We start from the raw sequence: 15,818 nt of genomic DNA on the forward strand, positions 1-15,818 counted from the left end.
GGTGGGGAGGGTCTGCAGAGTCCTCCATCCTCCATCCACACCAGCCTGCACACTGACCACAGCTGGGAATTTCTTAAAGGCAGAGGGATGGGAATGCCTGGACATGTCCCCTTTAGGTTCTCTATTTGTTTTATTTTATTTCTATTTTTAAGTTTTTTTGTTAGAGACGGTCTCACCCTGTCATCCAGGCTGGAGTGCAGTGGTGCAATCATAGCTCACTACAGCTGTGAGCTCCTGGGGTCAAGCAATCCTCCCACCTCAGCATCCCGAGTAGCTGGGACCACAGGCACACACCAGCATGCTCAGTGAATTTTTCAAATTTTTTTGTGGAGATAGGGGTCTCTCTATGTTGCTCAGGCTGGACTTGAACTCCTGGGCTCAAGTGATCTTCTCACCTCAGTCTCCCAAAGTGCTGGGATTATAGGCATGAGCCATTGCGCCCGGCCTAGGTTCCCTACTTTAGATTAGCTCACAGTTTCTCAGCCTTCAGCATGTCTAACAATTAGAATTCAACATGAATACATAAAACCACACACTTTGCATAATTATTGATTTAAGTGACTTTCCAGGGTATTTTGACAGTCAGTTATTTTTAACTCCTGTGTGACTTTATCAACCACATGCCTCCACCCAGGATGGGGTGTCCCTGAGGACTCAGCCCCTGCCTCCTGGCTCCACACTGTCAGAGGTGTCTTCTTGCTAGACGGGTTCCCCTGCAGTTATTCTAGGAAGCCCAGTGTAGACCCAGCTGCTGCCTGGCCCTCTCCTTCCTGGAAATGTTTCCCACCCCGTTCTGTAGCAGGTAATCATCAGACAGGTGGGTGAGCAGAAGATTGGCTGTGGTCTCATGTCTTCTGTTTGGGGCATCTTGGAATTAACAAAGCAGGAGACAGAGGAAAGAACTGATAACAGTTGGAGGTACAATGTCTCTAAAACATGGATGTCCAGCCCCAATTCTCCAGTTGGGAATGGAAAGGTTCAAAAGAAAAAAAAAGGAAGAAAGGAACAAAAAGAAATGGAAGTAGTGATGTAGATTTTGGCCAGGAAGAGGAACAGGGTTTGGGGCTACATGTTGTTTGAGGAACGGCCCCAGGAGAACAGAAGTTCAGATAAATCAGAGGTGAGAGGGAAGGCATCCAGAGGCAACAGGATATTGGAGGTGGGGCAGTGGCTGAGAATCAAAAGCCTTGGCTACCAATCCAGGCCATATACCATCAGCTCATTTTAGCACTCTGAACCATTCATGTCGCTTTTCTGAGCCTCAGTATCCTCACCTATAAAATGGAGATAATAGTCCCCAATTCCCTTACAAGGTAGTTGTGAAGACCAAATCAGCTAAGGCAAAGAGGACATGCTTTAAGTGCTATATGAATAATAATAACAACAAATAAAGTACACTTCTGTTAGAAACAAAGTGGGAAAAGTTGATAAAGATGAACTTTACTGCTAATAAAATATCCAGGAAAATTGGAAAGGTGATGGAGAGGTCATTGGAAGAAACTTCAGACAAAAGAAATGTATAAACCACCCATTTCTCTAGTCTTAAACGGGTCTCCACAACTTCAGCCATGCAGGAGAGTTAAGAATCCCTCTAAGCGGATGAGGCAGGACCGGTGTTCAATGAATGTCTGTTGGTCATCAGTATTTGTGGAGGCTTATGGGGGTCCTGGGCTCTGTGTGGGGATTGTGGAGGTCATCCCAAGGAAGATGTTTGCCTTAACAGGTTTAATTATCATTACTCCACTCCTGTGTTCCCATTCCCAGATGGTGGTTAAGCACTCCTTGTCACCACTCAGTATTGTTTGTTAATTTGCCTGCCCATCCATCTATCCATCCATCCATCCATCCATCCATCCATCCATCCATCCACCCAGTGAACTAAGATTTACTGAGCCTTGTTCTGCATCAGGCAGTGTGCTTGGTGATGGGAGAGTGGTGAGCAGAAGAATGGCGATCCCTTGCTTTCATGAGGCTCTCACAGTCCAGTCTAGAGTTAGACAGGTAAGTATCATAAGCTGTGATTAAGCAATGGGGAGGCACAGGTTGCTATCCAATACCAGGCAGCAGTTCCCTGGGTGGGGGCAGTGGGATCGTTAGGAACAACTTCTGGAAGGAAGGACAGGGAGGAGTTAGCCAGATGAAAGGGGGCCAGAGAGAAAATGGACATGGCACAAAGGCTGGTACATCTGGGAGCAGGTGAGGGATGGAGCGTGAGCATCCTGTCCCCCGGAATCTCTGGCTCCCGACTGCATTTTAAAGATGAGTACCTGAGAGTCTGCATGAATTCTGGCAGAAATAGCTTCAGCCTTACCACATTTCAGGGTAGCTTCTGTTCTTAGATCTTCTTTATGGCTGAGGTTTTATGTTCCAGAACATGACTTGCTCAGTGTCTTTTCTAGAAGGAGTCAACCAGGGTACCTGGGCCTAACCTCTGGGCAACCTGCAATGGCAAATAAGATAGAAAAGTGAGACTCTGTGGGCTTCTGGGATAGAGAAACCATCCCTGGAATGTCCCCAAGGAAAACTTGATCTCTGGAGTCACCCCTCTGAACTTCTCAAACAAGTATTAGTGAGTCAGGCAGACAAAAAGTCTTCCTGGAGCTGATATTCTGGAGAAATGATGCGGTTTGCTCCAGGAGACAGAGTTCAGCCCCCTTTCTACGCTTCTCTTTTACTTTGAACCCATTCTTTGAAGAACATAGAAGCTGATTTAGGAACTCTGGAGTGCATACATCTGGAAAGAAATAGAACATCCAGGGATGCCCCCATGGCTTCTACAATCCTAATGGCTCCTCAGCCTCTCCCTCTACTCCACATCCAGCCTTGGGTTCTGGGGGAGAAGACCCATGGGCAGGAAGAGGGCCTGAGATGGCAAAGAAGCAGAAGCTTGATAGTACAGGGCCCCAGATCTTTTGTGCAGCCCAGAGCTGAGGTTGTGATGGAAGGACCCCTTCTGTAGACCCCCTGTTGCTGTGCCAAGGGAGTAGAACCCTGCTCCAGGGTGGTGGGGTCACCATTCTTGCGGGGTAGGAGATACCCAGGGGGTGAGCTGCAGCAACTTGTGCATAATCTCTTGTGCATTCTGGAAGGTTTTTCAATGTCTGAAACACTTCCTCCTCAGCTTTGGACTTTTTTCTAGTCCCCTTAAAAATGTGTCTGTACAATGGGATAGGCTGGGGAGCTTATCTTCTCCTCCCCATCTGTATTGATGGCTTTGATTGTGAGCAGTGTCTCTTTTTTCCTTAACACTATTCTTTCCTCTAGCACCCCTTCTAGCTGGTCCCCACCCCTGAGGAAGTGTTTCCCCAGCGGACCTATTTTCTGGCCCTTGAGGAAGTGGTTCCCCAGAGGAAGTGGTAGCCCAGTGGGTCTAGTTCCTGGCCTCCCAGGAAGTGGTTCCCCAGCAGGCCTGTTTCCTGGCCTTGGAGGAAGTGGTTCCCCAGTGGACCTGTTTCCTGGTTCCCCCTGGGAAGTGGTTCCTCAGCGGGCCTGTTTCCTGGCCCTGGAGGAAGTGGTTCCCCAGTGGACCTGTTTCCTGGTTCCCCCTGGTAAGTGGTTCCTCAGCAGGCCTGTTTCCTGGCCCTGGAGGAAGTGGTTCCCCAATGGGCCTGTTTCCTGGCCCCCAAGGAGGTGGTTCCCCCTGGGAAGTGGTTCCTCAGCAGGCTTGTTTACTGGCCCCTAAGGAAGTGGTTCCCCAGTGGCCTGTTTCCTGACCACCAAGGAAGTGGTTCCCCAGCAGGCCTGTTTCCTGGCCCCCGAGGAAGTGGTTCCCATGAGGACGTGTTTCCCCAGCAGGCCTGTTTCCTGGCCCTGGAGGAACTGGTTCCCCTGAGGAAGTGGTTCCCCAGTGGGCCTGTTTCCTGGCTCCCTGAGGAAGTGATTCTCTAGCAGGCCTGTTTCCAGGCTCCTTGCAGTCTCCCCAGTGTCTTCAGCACATCGTTGAAATTTGTAACTGAGGTGACCAATGACCTTCGTAGCTAAATGCAGCCCCCTGCGTGACCTCTGAAGCACTGCACACATGGACCTCTCTATCCCCTCTGGAATTCTCTCCTCATTGCTGCTCAGGCCTCGTCTGTCTCCCTCCTTGACTGGTCCTCCTTGCTGCCTTCCCTGGAGCCCTCTACACTTCAGGTCTCACCGATCCCATTCACTGTTAGAGTTAAGAGGTGGATGGTTCCAGTTATCCATCTCTGTTCCAGTCTCTCTAGAAGCATCCAGTAGTGTTATCTCTAACTTAGAACATTTGAAATCTCATTGTAATATTGCGAAATGTATATTTGGTCTTGGTCCCTGTTTCTTGGCATACAACTCCTAAAATCCTTGGAATCTTCAAAGGGATCAGATGTCTTTTGTGTGCTAAGGATTGGTTGGTGGCTGGCAGCCTCCAGGTAGCTTCAGGATGGAGGATGGTTACCAGAAAGACCATGGCAGGGTGAGAGGGCTTGGACTTTCCCTCTCCCTGCCCCACCTCCGGTGAAGCAAGAGGGGTTGAAGGTTGAAGGTTGGGCTGATCACCCGTGGCCAATGATTTAATCAGTCATGCCTGTGTAATGAAGCCTCCATAAAAACTCAGAAGGACAGCGTTTGGAGAGCTTCTGATAGCTGATCATGTGGAGGTTCCTAGAGGGTGATGGTCCCAGGGAGGGCATGGAAGCTCCTCGCCCTTCCCACATGTCTCACCCTATGTATCTCTTCACCTGTATTCTCTGTAATATCCTTTATAATTAACCGGCAAATGTGTTTCCCTGAGCCACTCTAGCAAATTAACTGAACCTGAGGAGGGGCTCTAGGGAACCTTGACTTATAGCTGGTTGGTCAGAAGCACAAGTAAAACAACGTGGGGCTTGTGATTGGCATCAGAAGTGCTGGGGGCAGTCTTATGCGACTGAGCCCTCAACAGATGGGATTTGACACTATATCCAGATACATAGTGTCAGAATTAAATTGGAGGACACCCAGCTGGTGTCCATTGCACAATTGTTTGCTTGGTTGTTGGAGAAAAAAATTCCCTCACACTTCTTGGTGACCAGAGGTATTGATTGTTGTGGGGTGAGTGTGAGGAGAAGCTGTTTTTTGTACAGACTCATCTTAATGACTGAAACGTACTTCCTCTGTGGTTATCTCTGTGCCAATGAAGATCACCCAGGAGCCCATCTTAATCTTTGACGTCTCAACCAGTCACCTAATCTTGTTGATTTTCCCCATGTGATGTTCCATTTGCACCTGTTTCATTCCATTTATCACCAACACCCAAGCTCTGTTCACATGGAGACCTTCATACCCACCCAGATAGTCTCCTCACCTCTCGTCCTCCACCCCCAAACCCACCTGCCCCACCCGTCCACACATCCTGCCATGAAGTACTACCTTTCATCACAACAGGTTAACGAGGAAGCCGACTGCTGTCGCAGAGAGAGCTCTGGCCTCAGGTGGGCCTTTCTCAATATCTTCACTCCCGGGAAGAGGAGATTGATGACAGTCCCTTGCAGATATGAATGGCAGGAGGCTGGGGGTCAGGGGTGGGATAGCCATAGAGGAAGCACTTTCATGCCTTAAGGTTGCCTTCAACCTTAAGTTAATAGTTGGCTGCACATTGAAGAAAGTCAGATAAATATTTAAAAATTCACTTTTAACCTTACATAAGGCCTGGAAGAGCACTTCCATTTGCCAACTTGCTGCAGGGCCAAGACGTTTTCTCCGAGTTTGGGTCTGCTGGGTGGGTTCTGTGTTGTCTCTTGCACAAACCTTGTCTCCAGTCTGCAGTTGGTTTCATGAAAGTGGTGTGATTCCTCAGACAAGCCTGAAGTTATCTGGGTTCAAAATCTTGTTTTTTTGTTTGTTTGTTTTTGAGACTGAGTCTTGCTCTGTCCCCCAGGCTGGAGTACAGTGGTGTGATCTTGGCTCACTGCAACCTCTGCCTCCTGGGTTCAAGAGATTCTCCTGTCTCAGCCTCCTGAGTAACTGGGATTAGAGGCACCCACCACCACATCCGGCTAATTTTTTGTATTTTTAATAGAGACGGGGTTTTGCCACGTTGGCTAGGCTGGTCTCAAACTCCTGACCTCAGGTGATCCTCCCGCCTCAGCCTCCCAAAGTGCTGGGATTACAGGCATGAGCCTCCACGCCTGGCCAGCATCTTGTATTTTTAAAAATAATTTTGCCTCAATCTTTTCTGGATATCTCCTCTACACCTCATTTGACAGCTGCATTTTGTAAATGTAGTGACTGGTTTTGTTGAGTCTTTGCAGTTGAGTTTTCATAGAAACAACCACACTTTTCACACTGTTTTAAATGGGCTGAGAACATACACAACTGGCTGGTGAGGGCAGCTGCGCTCAGGCATGAGGCAGAGTGTGGGGCCGTGAGCAGCGCACACACACTGCCTGCTGCAGACGCCGGGCCGGGGGCTTCACAGAGAGGATAGGAGGTCTGCGTTACTCTACGAGTGCATAGAGTAGAGATTGGCCATGAGAGTTTCTCGCCTTTTTTTTTTTTTTAATTTTGGATGACAGAATCAGTTTATGAAATGATCTTGATTGGCTAAGATGATGGAACCAACCAAATCAGATGAAACATCGGGAGGATAAATCTGAAGTCTTCCTTAGGTCTAAAGAATGAATTGCACCATTACCATGTCATAGATACTTATATTATCAGTGAGACTCAAGGGTTTTAGCTGAGGGGAGGATTTATTTGAGTCAACCATGGATGTGGTTGCCAAAGGAAGCTAACGTAAGCTTCGATCATCATAGCTCTCTAGTGTCTAGAGACAGGAGGTTGTAGGGGACACTGACCATCTCCTCAATACCCTTCCCACCCCTCATTCTCCGTGTTCTGCCATTGGCCTTGGGGGGATTGTCCGTGGGTTTTTTTTTTCTTCTTCTTCTGAGATCAAGTCTTGCTCTGTTGCCCAGGCTAGAGTGCAGTGGCTTGAGCTCAGCTCACTGCAAGCTCCGCCTCCCAGGTTTAAGTGATTCTCCTGCCTCAGCCTCCTGAGTAGCTGGGATTACAGGCATGCGCCACCACACCTGGCTAATTTTTGAATTTTTAGAGGAAGGGTTTCACCATGTTGGCCAGGCTGGTCTCGAACTCCTGACCTCAGGTGATTGGCCTGCCTCAGCCTCCCACAGTGCTGGGGTTATGGGCGTGAGCCACTACACCCAGCTGATTGTCTGTGGTTTTGTAATCCAGTCAGGATGATTCCATGCTCCTTGCCACGTGATTGATCAATACACAGCATTTTCCTGGCTACAGGAATTGGTTCAGGAATGGTCATGTGACCTGGTTTGGTCTAATGAAGCATGAAGGGACATTGGCTGAAGGCTTTTGTAAATAAGGTACCTAGCTCTTCTGTGGGGGATTCTGGAAACTAGCCTTCTTGCTCACCTTGGATGCTGTGGTGTGTGGATACGAAGCCTGGAACTGCTGCATCCCCTTTGCTATCACAGGGAACACCCACCAAAGGATGATATTGAGACCACGAAGGCATAGAGGACATAGAAGGACAGGTAGAAGACACTAAGTCCTGGATCACATCCCTGAATGAACCCGGTTCTACCTCCGGACCTTCAGTTACACAAACCCATGTAATTCAAGCCATTTTGGGTCGAGTTTTCTGTTAGTTAGCACAGAGATGAGTCTTCGCTTCCTTGGGGAGAGACAGATATGCTTAGAATATTGCATTTGCTTCTGGGCTCTGGCCTTTGAGAGGCACATTGAGGAGGTGCAGAGTGGCTAATGAGAGCCACCGGGCTGGGGAAGGGGATTGAAAAAGCGTCTATCATGGGGGTGATGATCCACTTTTGGGTGTAGATCATGTTAGCATTCTTTTAGATGGAAAGCTTCCGAAATATATTTCCAAAAGGATACAGTTTGTAGAAATGCAGAATTGTTAACTTTTCAGAAGCACGTGTAGTTGCCCAGGCTGGAGTGCAGTGGCTTGATCTAAGCTCACTGCAAGCTCCGCCTCCCGGGTTTAAGTGATTCTCCTGCCTCAGCCTCCTGAGTAGCTGGGATTACAGGCATGTGCCACCACGCCTGCATGAGATAAGATATTCCTGTGGCTTTCACTAACATGCTGGGGATAGCCAGAGAAAAATTCCATGAACGTGCAGGATGATTTAAATAAAAAGAGGCTGCTTTGTCTAGTCATTGTGTGGGAGGGAAACCCAAACCCCAAAGTGTCCTCATTCCAGTGTAGAAACAGCCACTAGAGTGTTGTTTTCACAGGACGCTGTCACCGGGTGGCCCTTTGGGAAGTGTGGGTGACTCGTTGCAGAGATTTCCATCTGGGGGGCAACACCGTAAGCCCTGGTTCCTTTTCCCTGCTCCACTCCAGAGCATTGGTGGAAGGAGACCTCTGGACATTCCACAGCCTTCCTGTGGGCCTCTTCAGCTTTGGCTTTGTTCTTTGCAGTTTTTTTTTTTTTTTTTTTTTTTTGAGATGGAGTCTCACTCTGTTGCCCAGGCTGGAGTGCAGTGGCGTGATCTCGGCTCACTGCAACCTCCGCCTCCTGGGTTCAAGTGATTCTCCTGCCTCACCCTCCCAAGGAGCTGGGACTATAGGCACCCGCCACCATGCCTGGCTATTTTTTTGTATTTTTAGTAGAGATGGGGTTTCACTGTGTTAGCCAGGATGGTCTCGATCTCCTGACCTCGTGATCTGCCTGCCTCGGCCTCCCAAAGTGCTGGATTACAGGCGTGAGCCACCGTGCCTGACCCCGTTCTTTGCAGTTTCTAACACTTTTTTCTGATACTTGCAGCAATGAGAGTAGAGCCAGCAGCTTCATGCACTTGTACCAGGATGCTACAGAAATGAGCAAAAGAAGTGAGCTGTGTGACTTGGGCAAGGACCTCCTGGTTAGCTGTAGGCTCATTTACAGAGACCTCAGAACACACTGGCTCAAGCGAGGTGGATACCTCTTTCCCTCACTTCGTGGCTGGGTGGTGGGGATGCGTGGGGTAAGTAGGCAGTGCTGTCCCATGATTGTCATCCAGAGCAGAACCCAGCCCCCTGTCCAGCTGCTCTGCCACCCTCTGGGGGGCTATCCTCAGCTTCCCGATGGAAGCTGGTCCTCCAGCACCCTGTCTTCATTCCAGCCTGCTGGAAGAGGGAAAGAGGAAGGGGAGGGAGAGCAATTTCCTTTAAGGAAGTGAAGTGGAAGTTACGCGTGTCATTTCCACTCATATTCCATCGCCTCAGACTTCATCATGTGGCCACACCTGGCTGCAAGGTATCCTGGGAAGTATGGTCTCTCGCTGGGTGACCATGCGTCCCTTAACTAAAAGGAAGTGGAGGATGGATATTGGCAACAGTTAGCTTCTCTGCTACTGTGCCTCAGTTCTTGCATCTACAGATCAACGTCCACAGGATCACCAACCATCCCGGGAGCTCTAGCCTCAGTGACTTCGTCTGTGAAGTGGAAATAACAAAAATACCAACCTCAGTGACACACAAGAGAGGACTTTGCATGGGGCCCACACACAGTTGGGTACTCAAATGACAGCTGCTCTTATGGCCGTTTTCATTCAGCCAATCAGCGAATAGGTTTTGAGCACCTGCTATGTGCCAGGAGCATTCAAGGCGCTGGGGATTCAGCAGAGATCAAACCAGACCAAAGCTCCAGTTCTCGGAGCTCAGCTTCTCGTGGGGTGACAGAGGGGCGCACGTGGGGAGAACTGTCTCCTCTCCTCTTGCCTGGCTCTCACTGCTACTACACATGGGATTTCCAAGTCAGGGCTCTTTGCAGGAATTGCCCAGATGGTCTCTTGCAGGAAGCCAGAGAGCCTAAGTGAGATTCGTTTCTGCCCCAATTGATAATTTATGAAAGCAACTTCATAAACACCAGGTAGTGTCCCATTTGTTACTCATTTAAGATTATTATTTCCTCCATTCTTTTTATGAGGGGTTTTCTTGTTGATTGTAGCAAGTGGAAGTAGGTGTAGGGAGATAAGTTGTTATGGTGTCTTCAAAAATAAAAACTAACAAATAAGCCGAGTGCAGTGGTCCTTGCCTGTTGTCCCAGCTGCTGGGGAGCCTGAGGCAGGAGGATTACTTGAGCCCAGGAGTTCGAGTCCAGCAGTTTGGGTAACATAGTGAGACCCTCATCTCTAAAAATAAAAATAAAACAAACAAACATTGAGATCATTCGGTGGGTATTTCTGAAGCCTCTGTCTCATGCTAGTTTGAATGCTAAATGATTGAAATACAGTGGAGAGAACCATAGGGTTCCTGACCTCAAGGCACTCACTCTAGAGGGGAATGTACACCAGCAATTACAATACAGGGCTGTGAGAGGTTAGAACGGGTGCTATGGAAGCAGGAGGAAGAGGTACCAGAGCCACTTGCGGGGCAGGATCAGGGAACGCTTCCTGGAGGAAATGAAATTATCACCAAACAGATCATCACTGTGACCACCTACCTTCATGATCACCATCATCACCATTGATGTCATCATCATCATGCTCACTGTCATCAATATCACTATCTCCTTTACCATCATTGCCATCATCATGCTGTCATCATGACTGTCCTGTCATCTTCACTGTCCTCATTACCATCACCACCTGCACCATCACCATCATCACCATCATCGTTGCTGTCATCATCACCATTATTGTCACCATCATCATCACTTCCCACCTCCTTCTCAATATCACCATCAGCTTCACCATCACCATCAGCATCAGCACCGTTGTCATCAGTACCACCACTAGCATCATGGCAGCTAGCATGCTTGACCACCTTCTGTGTGCCTGGCACCATGCAAAGCTCTTTGCACACATTGTCTCATTTAATTTCCACCGTGACCCTATGAAGCCAAGTTGTTATTCTCACTTTAGAGGTGAAGAAAATGAGGATCCTAAAGGTTACACAGTTTGACCAAGGTCACAGAGTGAGTTTCTCAGTGTTAGACTCAGGATTCAAGTTCAGGCTACCTGTTGTGGAACCTTAGTTTGCCAACCACCCTAGAAGGATGAGTGGGAGGTGGCTAGGTGGGGTGGGGTCTGACAAGGAGCCAGGAGCATTCTGGGGAGAGGGAGATGCAGGCACAGGGCCACAGAGAGACAGAGAGCTGGGGGCATTCGAGACCCAAAGAGGCTGTGTGGCCAGAGTGCTGAGTGTAAGAGGTGAGAGATGAAGCTTGAGTGTAGGGCAAGGTCTGATCCTGCAAGCCCTGATTGGCGTTTTCTAGTTTTGGACTTCGTCTTGATGACAACAGGAAGACCGTATTGAAAGGTTTTAAGTGGGAGGGGACCGTGATTGGCTTGTGCTGTAGGAAGATCACTCTGGTCACCCAGTGGGCAGTGGAGCTGAGAAGGGGGAGACTGAGGCAGGGAGACATCATTTGGTGTAGGAGTTTGAAGCATTCATTGCTCCCACATACCAGAGTCCTGGGATCCTTAGACATCCTCAGAGCTCCCTCCAGGTGCTCTTCTCCACAATTACCCAGAGGATTGAATCAAGCTGAGAGTTCTCAGCTCTCTTTTCTCGAGACAGCTGCTCATCCTTTGTTTGGAACCCTGGGCCTGTGCCGATTTGCCCAGTAGCTTTCACGAACGGCTTTCACATAAAGCCAGACTTGTGCTTTCTAAACAGTTGACCCTGTGTGAGGGCCGTGACCTTGCAGAATACAAAACAGGAGAGGTTAGATCTAAGTCCTCCACTGAGTGCTCCTGGGGCATCCTGCCCCCAGGGAGGCTGTGGTCTACCCAAGAGCAGATGTAGAAACCCCAATTCGACCAGGAGGCTGAATGGAGCCACTTTGTCCCATGCTCCCCACTGCTGTCCTTCCTCCCCAGAGGCAGGAACGAGGCTGCCTCATCCAGAGCTGAGACGCATACTGCTGTGCTGGAAGGAGAAGGCCAGAACCCCAGCTCACCAAGCTGGCATTGCTGGTGCACGAGCCACCCAGTGGGGACAGGCAGGGGGCAGGAGGCGGGAGACAGGGGACCAGCTCCCGACGGCCGTGCCGAGGGACTTCTGTGGGTGCCCAGTGGGTGTCCATCTGCAAGTTGGCTTCAAGGGTCTTTTGGCCACCTCTTCCATGACTTGGAATTTCTTATTGTCCTGCTCTTAAAGATTTTGAGGATCCCTAGTAAGTGGGGATCAGGAGTTCTGGGTTCTGGGTGTGGCTTTATTACCAGCTCACTGGGTAGGGTTGGGCCAGTCCTTTCCCCTCTCTGGGCTTCAGACTCCTTCTTATGAAACAAGGGATTGGCCTTAGGTGTCCTCTGAGGTCCCTCCAAAGCAAGCCGCTCTATGTTCTCTGGAGCTCCTAGCACCCCAATGACACACACCAAATAGTTGCCACAGACGGATGGGTGGATGGGCTCTGAGTCCCACCTCCACCCGCTCCTGGGTGGGTTGTTCATTTGAGGACTGAGACCCCAGGGCAGACCCGGAAGCCTGGAACACGTTCACATGCCACAGATGGAGGATTTTTCCGCTTCAATTATCTTCTTTGCAGGTTTTGGGTTTTCAGACAGGGCTGGCAGCTTGACTGAGCCACAGTAACCATTTCCGAGCTGGCTGGAAGCATGCATGGAGGACCTCAGGGTTCAATCTGTTGTTCTCCTTCCAGTATCAAGAGTCTGAACGATTCCAAATACGGAGAAACAACCTCTCTCCGGGTTCCTTGTGGCCAGCCATCACGAAACCCTCGCACCTGTTCACCCTGCAAAGCGTGATATGTCTGAACTATTTAAACGGTTGGGTTTACTGATTAATTTCTCCTCAGCCTCATGCCTGGATCCTGGGTGTCCGCCATCGGAGTGCTGGTGACTGTTGTGGAGGCAGGACCCCCAGCTTAGGGTACAGAGTCTCCTGTGTTGTGGAGAGCTGAGAAGACCAGGTATGAGGAGCCTCATTTGTGCTCTAGCTTTATTATTAAGTTAAGGGTGCCAGGCGCGGTGGCTCACGCCTGTAATCCCAGCACTTTGGGAGGCCGAGACTGGTGGATCACCCGAGTTCAGGAGTTCGAGACCAGACTGACCACCATGGTGAAACCCCGTCTCTACTAAAAATACAAAAAAGTTAGCCAGGTGTGGTGGCGGGCACTTGTAGTCCCAGCTACTCGGGAGGCTGAGACAGGAGAATCGCTTGAACCCGGGAGGCGGAGGTTGCAGTGAGCCGAGATTGTGCCACTGTACTCTAGCCTGGGCGGCAGAGCAAGATTCCATCTAAAAAAAAAAAAAAAATTAAGGACATATGTTTTGGCTATTCTCCAATTTCTACTTTTTATACCTTGTTAAACACATTAGAGCAATGTCCTAGGTGACAATTTCTTGTTGATAACGCACAAGTTTTGCCAGAAGACTGTCTCAGATGTTCCCTGTTCTCTACCCCTGGTGGGTTTTTCACTGCTGGGTGGAACCTAAATGTTCATTGTCCCTTCTGAGAACACCTGCTGTGTGCTTCCCCTGCCTGCAAAAACCACCTTGAACGTGATGGGTGCTTTCGGACTCTCAGGGCCCTTCTACCTCTGCTCATCCCAAACACCACGGCACTGGAGACAAAGCTTTTCGTTCGCAGCCGCAGCCGCTTGCCTGTGATCATCTTTTTCCAGTTGGGGGTTTCATCTCTCTTTTACAACCTGGCTCCTGCTACCGACCTCCTGCAGTTTCTGGCGGGGACTTGTTAGAGTGGCCAAACAAACTTTTTTTTTTAAACACCAACAAGCTATCTGGACACAGTAGGGTAGTTACTAAGCAAAATTATCACTGCTCCCTTCTATGCCCCAGAAGTCCTGAAGCCCACAGCCTGTCTATCCTTTTGAGGCCAAAGGGAGAGATGGGCATTTGAGGACATGGTGGGAAAGGCTGAGGCTGGAGGACGGGCTGTGGGTATGTGAGTGGGGAATGGTGTTGACGCCTGTCTCCTCCCAACTTATGGCATTGATCATCTTTTGGTAGGAGCCGGGCTACCAAACTCATCTTTTTTTTTTTCTTTTTCTTTTTTTTTTTGAGATGGAGTCTCACTCTGTCACCAGGCTGGAGTGCAGTGGCATGATCTCAGCTCACTGCAACCTCTGCCTCCTGGATTCAAGCGATTGTCTTGCCTCAGCCTCCCAAGTAGCTGGGACTACAGGCATGCACCACCATGCCTGGCTAATTTTTGTATTTTTAGTAGAAATGGGGTTTCACCATGTTGGCCAGAACAGTCTCGATCTCTTGACCTCATGATCCGCCTGCCTCGGCCTCCCAGAGTGCTGGGATTACAGGTGTGAGCCACCGCGCCTGGCCTAACTCCTCATCTTTCTTACTTACCAAAGCAGGTAAGGACTCTCTGTGACTCACTAAGCAAGAAAGTCATGGATGTTTCTGGTCATTTAGGAGCAGAAAGAGGGGGATACAGATGCCGGTTTATAAAGGCTGAGAGTGCAGGAGGCAGCCACTCAGGAGACCTTGCTAAGGCTGGCTTCCCGCTGCTTGTCTTCTCTGGCCATTTCTCTGCTTGGGTACAGAAACCAGGCCAAGTGCCTGGGGAACATTTAGCTTTTTGTTGTGAGAAGGGAAGAATTAGAAAGTCAAATGCTCCTATGGACTGGGAGCCAAGAGAAGGGGGCAGGGAGGCTGGCAGGGCCTTGAGGAGGCTTGGCCACTCTGAGGGTGGGTGCCCATCTAAGGCAAGCCTGGAGCTGGGTGGGCAAGAGCCGGGCGGCCCCGCTCCTCCTTTCCATGTCCTCCCCTCCACCGGGACCCTCAGCCTGGGCCCAGCAGGGAAACCCAGGGCGTGTGAAGCCGACCAAAGGGAGATGGATTGAAAAACAGCCAGCTGAGGAGGGCACTGGCTGCCAGGCGGAGGACTCGGCAGTGCCAAGTGCAAGGTTTCTGGAGAGCTGCTTATGTCTCACTGCCTACAATAACACCTCATTTATTTGGCATTATCAGAGAATGAGCTGTTTCCCTTAAGTGACTTTTCCTCCCCCAAACTTTAAAAATGGAAACATTTTATGTGTCAAACTTTTTATTATTATTTAATTGTGGTAAAATATACATAACATAAAATGTACCATCTAAACCATTTTTCTCTATGTTTTAGAGACAGGGTCTCGCCCTCTCCCCCAGACTGGAGTGTAGTGGTAGGATCATAGCTCACTGCAGCCTCAAAACTCCTAGGTTCAAGGGATCCTTCTGCTTCAGCCTCCCCAGTAGCTGGAACTACAGGCTCAAGCCACAGTGCCTGACCAAAGTTAAACTGGATCCTACGTTTAACCCCCCGCCTTTTTTTTTTTTTTTTGAGATGGAGTTTCTCTCTTATTGCCCAGGCTGGAGTGCAATGGCACGATCTCGGCTCACTGCAACATTTGCCTCACGGGTTCGAGTGATTCTCCTGCCTCTGCCTCCTGAGTAGCTGGGATTACAGGCATGTGCCACCACGCCCGGCTGATTTTGTATTTTTAGTAGAGACGGGGTTTCTCCATGTTGGTCAGGCTGGTCTCGAACTCCCGACCTCAGGTGATCTGCCTGCCTCGGCCTCCCAGAGTGCTGGGATTACAAGCGTGAGCCACCGTGTCCGGCCCGTTTAGCCACTTTTATGTGTACAGTTCAGTGGCATGAAGTACATTCACCATCATCACCATCCGTCTCCAGAACTTTTTCAACTTCCTAAATTGAAACTCTATACCCCTGAAACAACTTCTTCCTGCCCCAGACTCTGGAAACCTCTAATCTACTTTGTCTCTAGGAATCTGACTACTCTAGCTACCTCATATCAGTGGAATCATACAGTAGTTGTCCTTCGGTGACTCCCGGGTTCAAGCGATTCTCCTGCCTCAGCCTCCTGAGTACCTGGATTACAGGCATGCACCACCACG

At 49.6% G+C, this 15,818-nt stretch overlaps 1 protein-coding gene across 3 annotated transcripts in view, besides 2 other annotated features; it reads left to right on the forward strand.

The window, feature by feature from the left end:
• NTN1 (netrin 1) overlaps nucleotides 1–15,818 on the forward strand; it is a 240,914-nt gene that overhangs the window by 73,143 nt on the left and 151,953 nt on the right. The gene's annotated exons all lie outside the window — the stretch shown is intronic.
• Nucleotides 11,427–11,928: an enhancer, noted in NCBI's record as "H3K4me1 hESC enhancer chr17:8990973-8991474 (GRCh37/hg19 assembly coordinates)". NCBI's record gives its function as "activates a minimal SCP1, AML or CMV promoter by ChIP-STARR-seq in naive and primed H9 embryonic stem cells {active_cell/tissue: H9 hESC(naive and primed)}" and the evidence as "EXISTENCE:reporter gene assay evidence [ECO:0000049][PMID:30033119]".
• Nucleotides 11,929–12,428: an enhancer, noted in NCBI's record as "H3K4me1 hESC enhancer chr17:8991475-8991974 (GRCh37/hg19 assembly coordinates)". NCBI's record gives its function as "activates a minimal SCP1, AML or CMV promoter by ChIP-STARR-seq in primed H9 embryonic stem cells {active_cell/tissue: H9 hESC(primed)}" and the evidence as "EXISTENCE:reporter gene assay evidence [ECO:0000049][PMID:30033119]".

The sequence above is a fragment of the Homo sapiens genome, chromosome 17 (assembly GCF_000001405.40).
Source record: "Homo sapiens chromosome 17, GRCh38.p14 Primary Assembly".
Taxonomy (NCBI): Eukaryota; Metazoa; Chordata; class Mammalia; order Primates; family Hominidae; genus Homo; species Homo sapiens.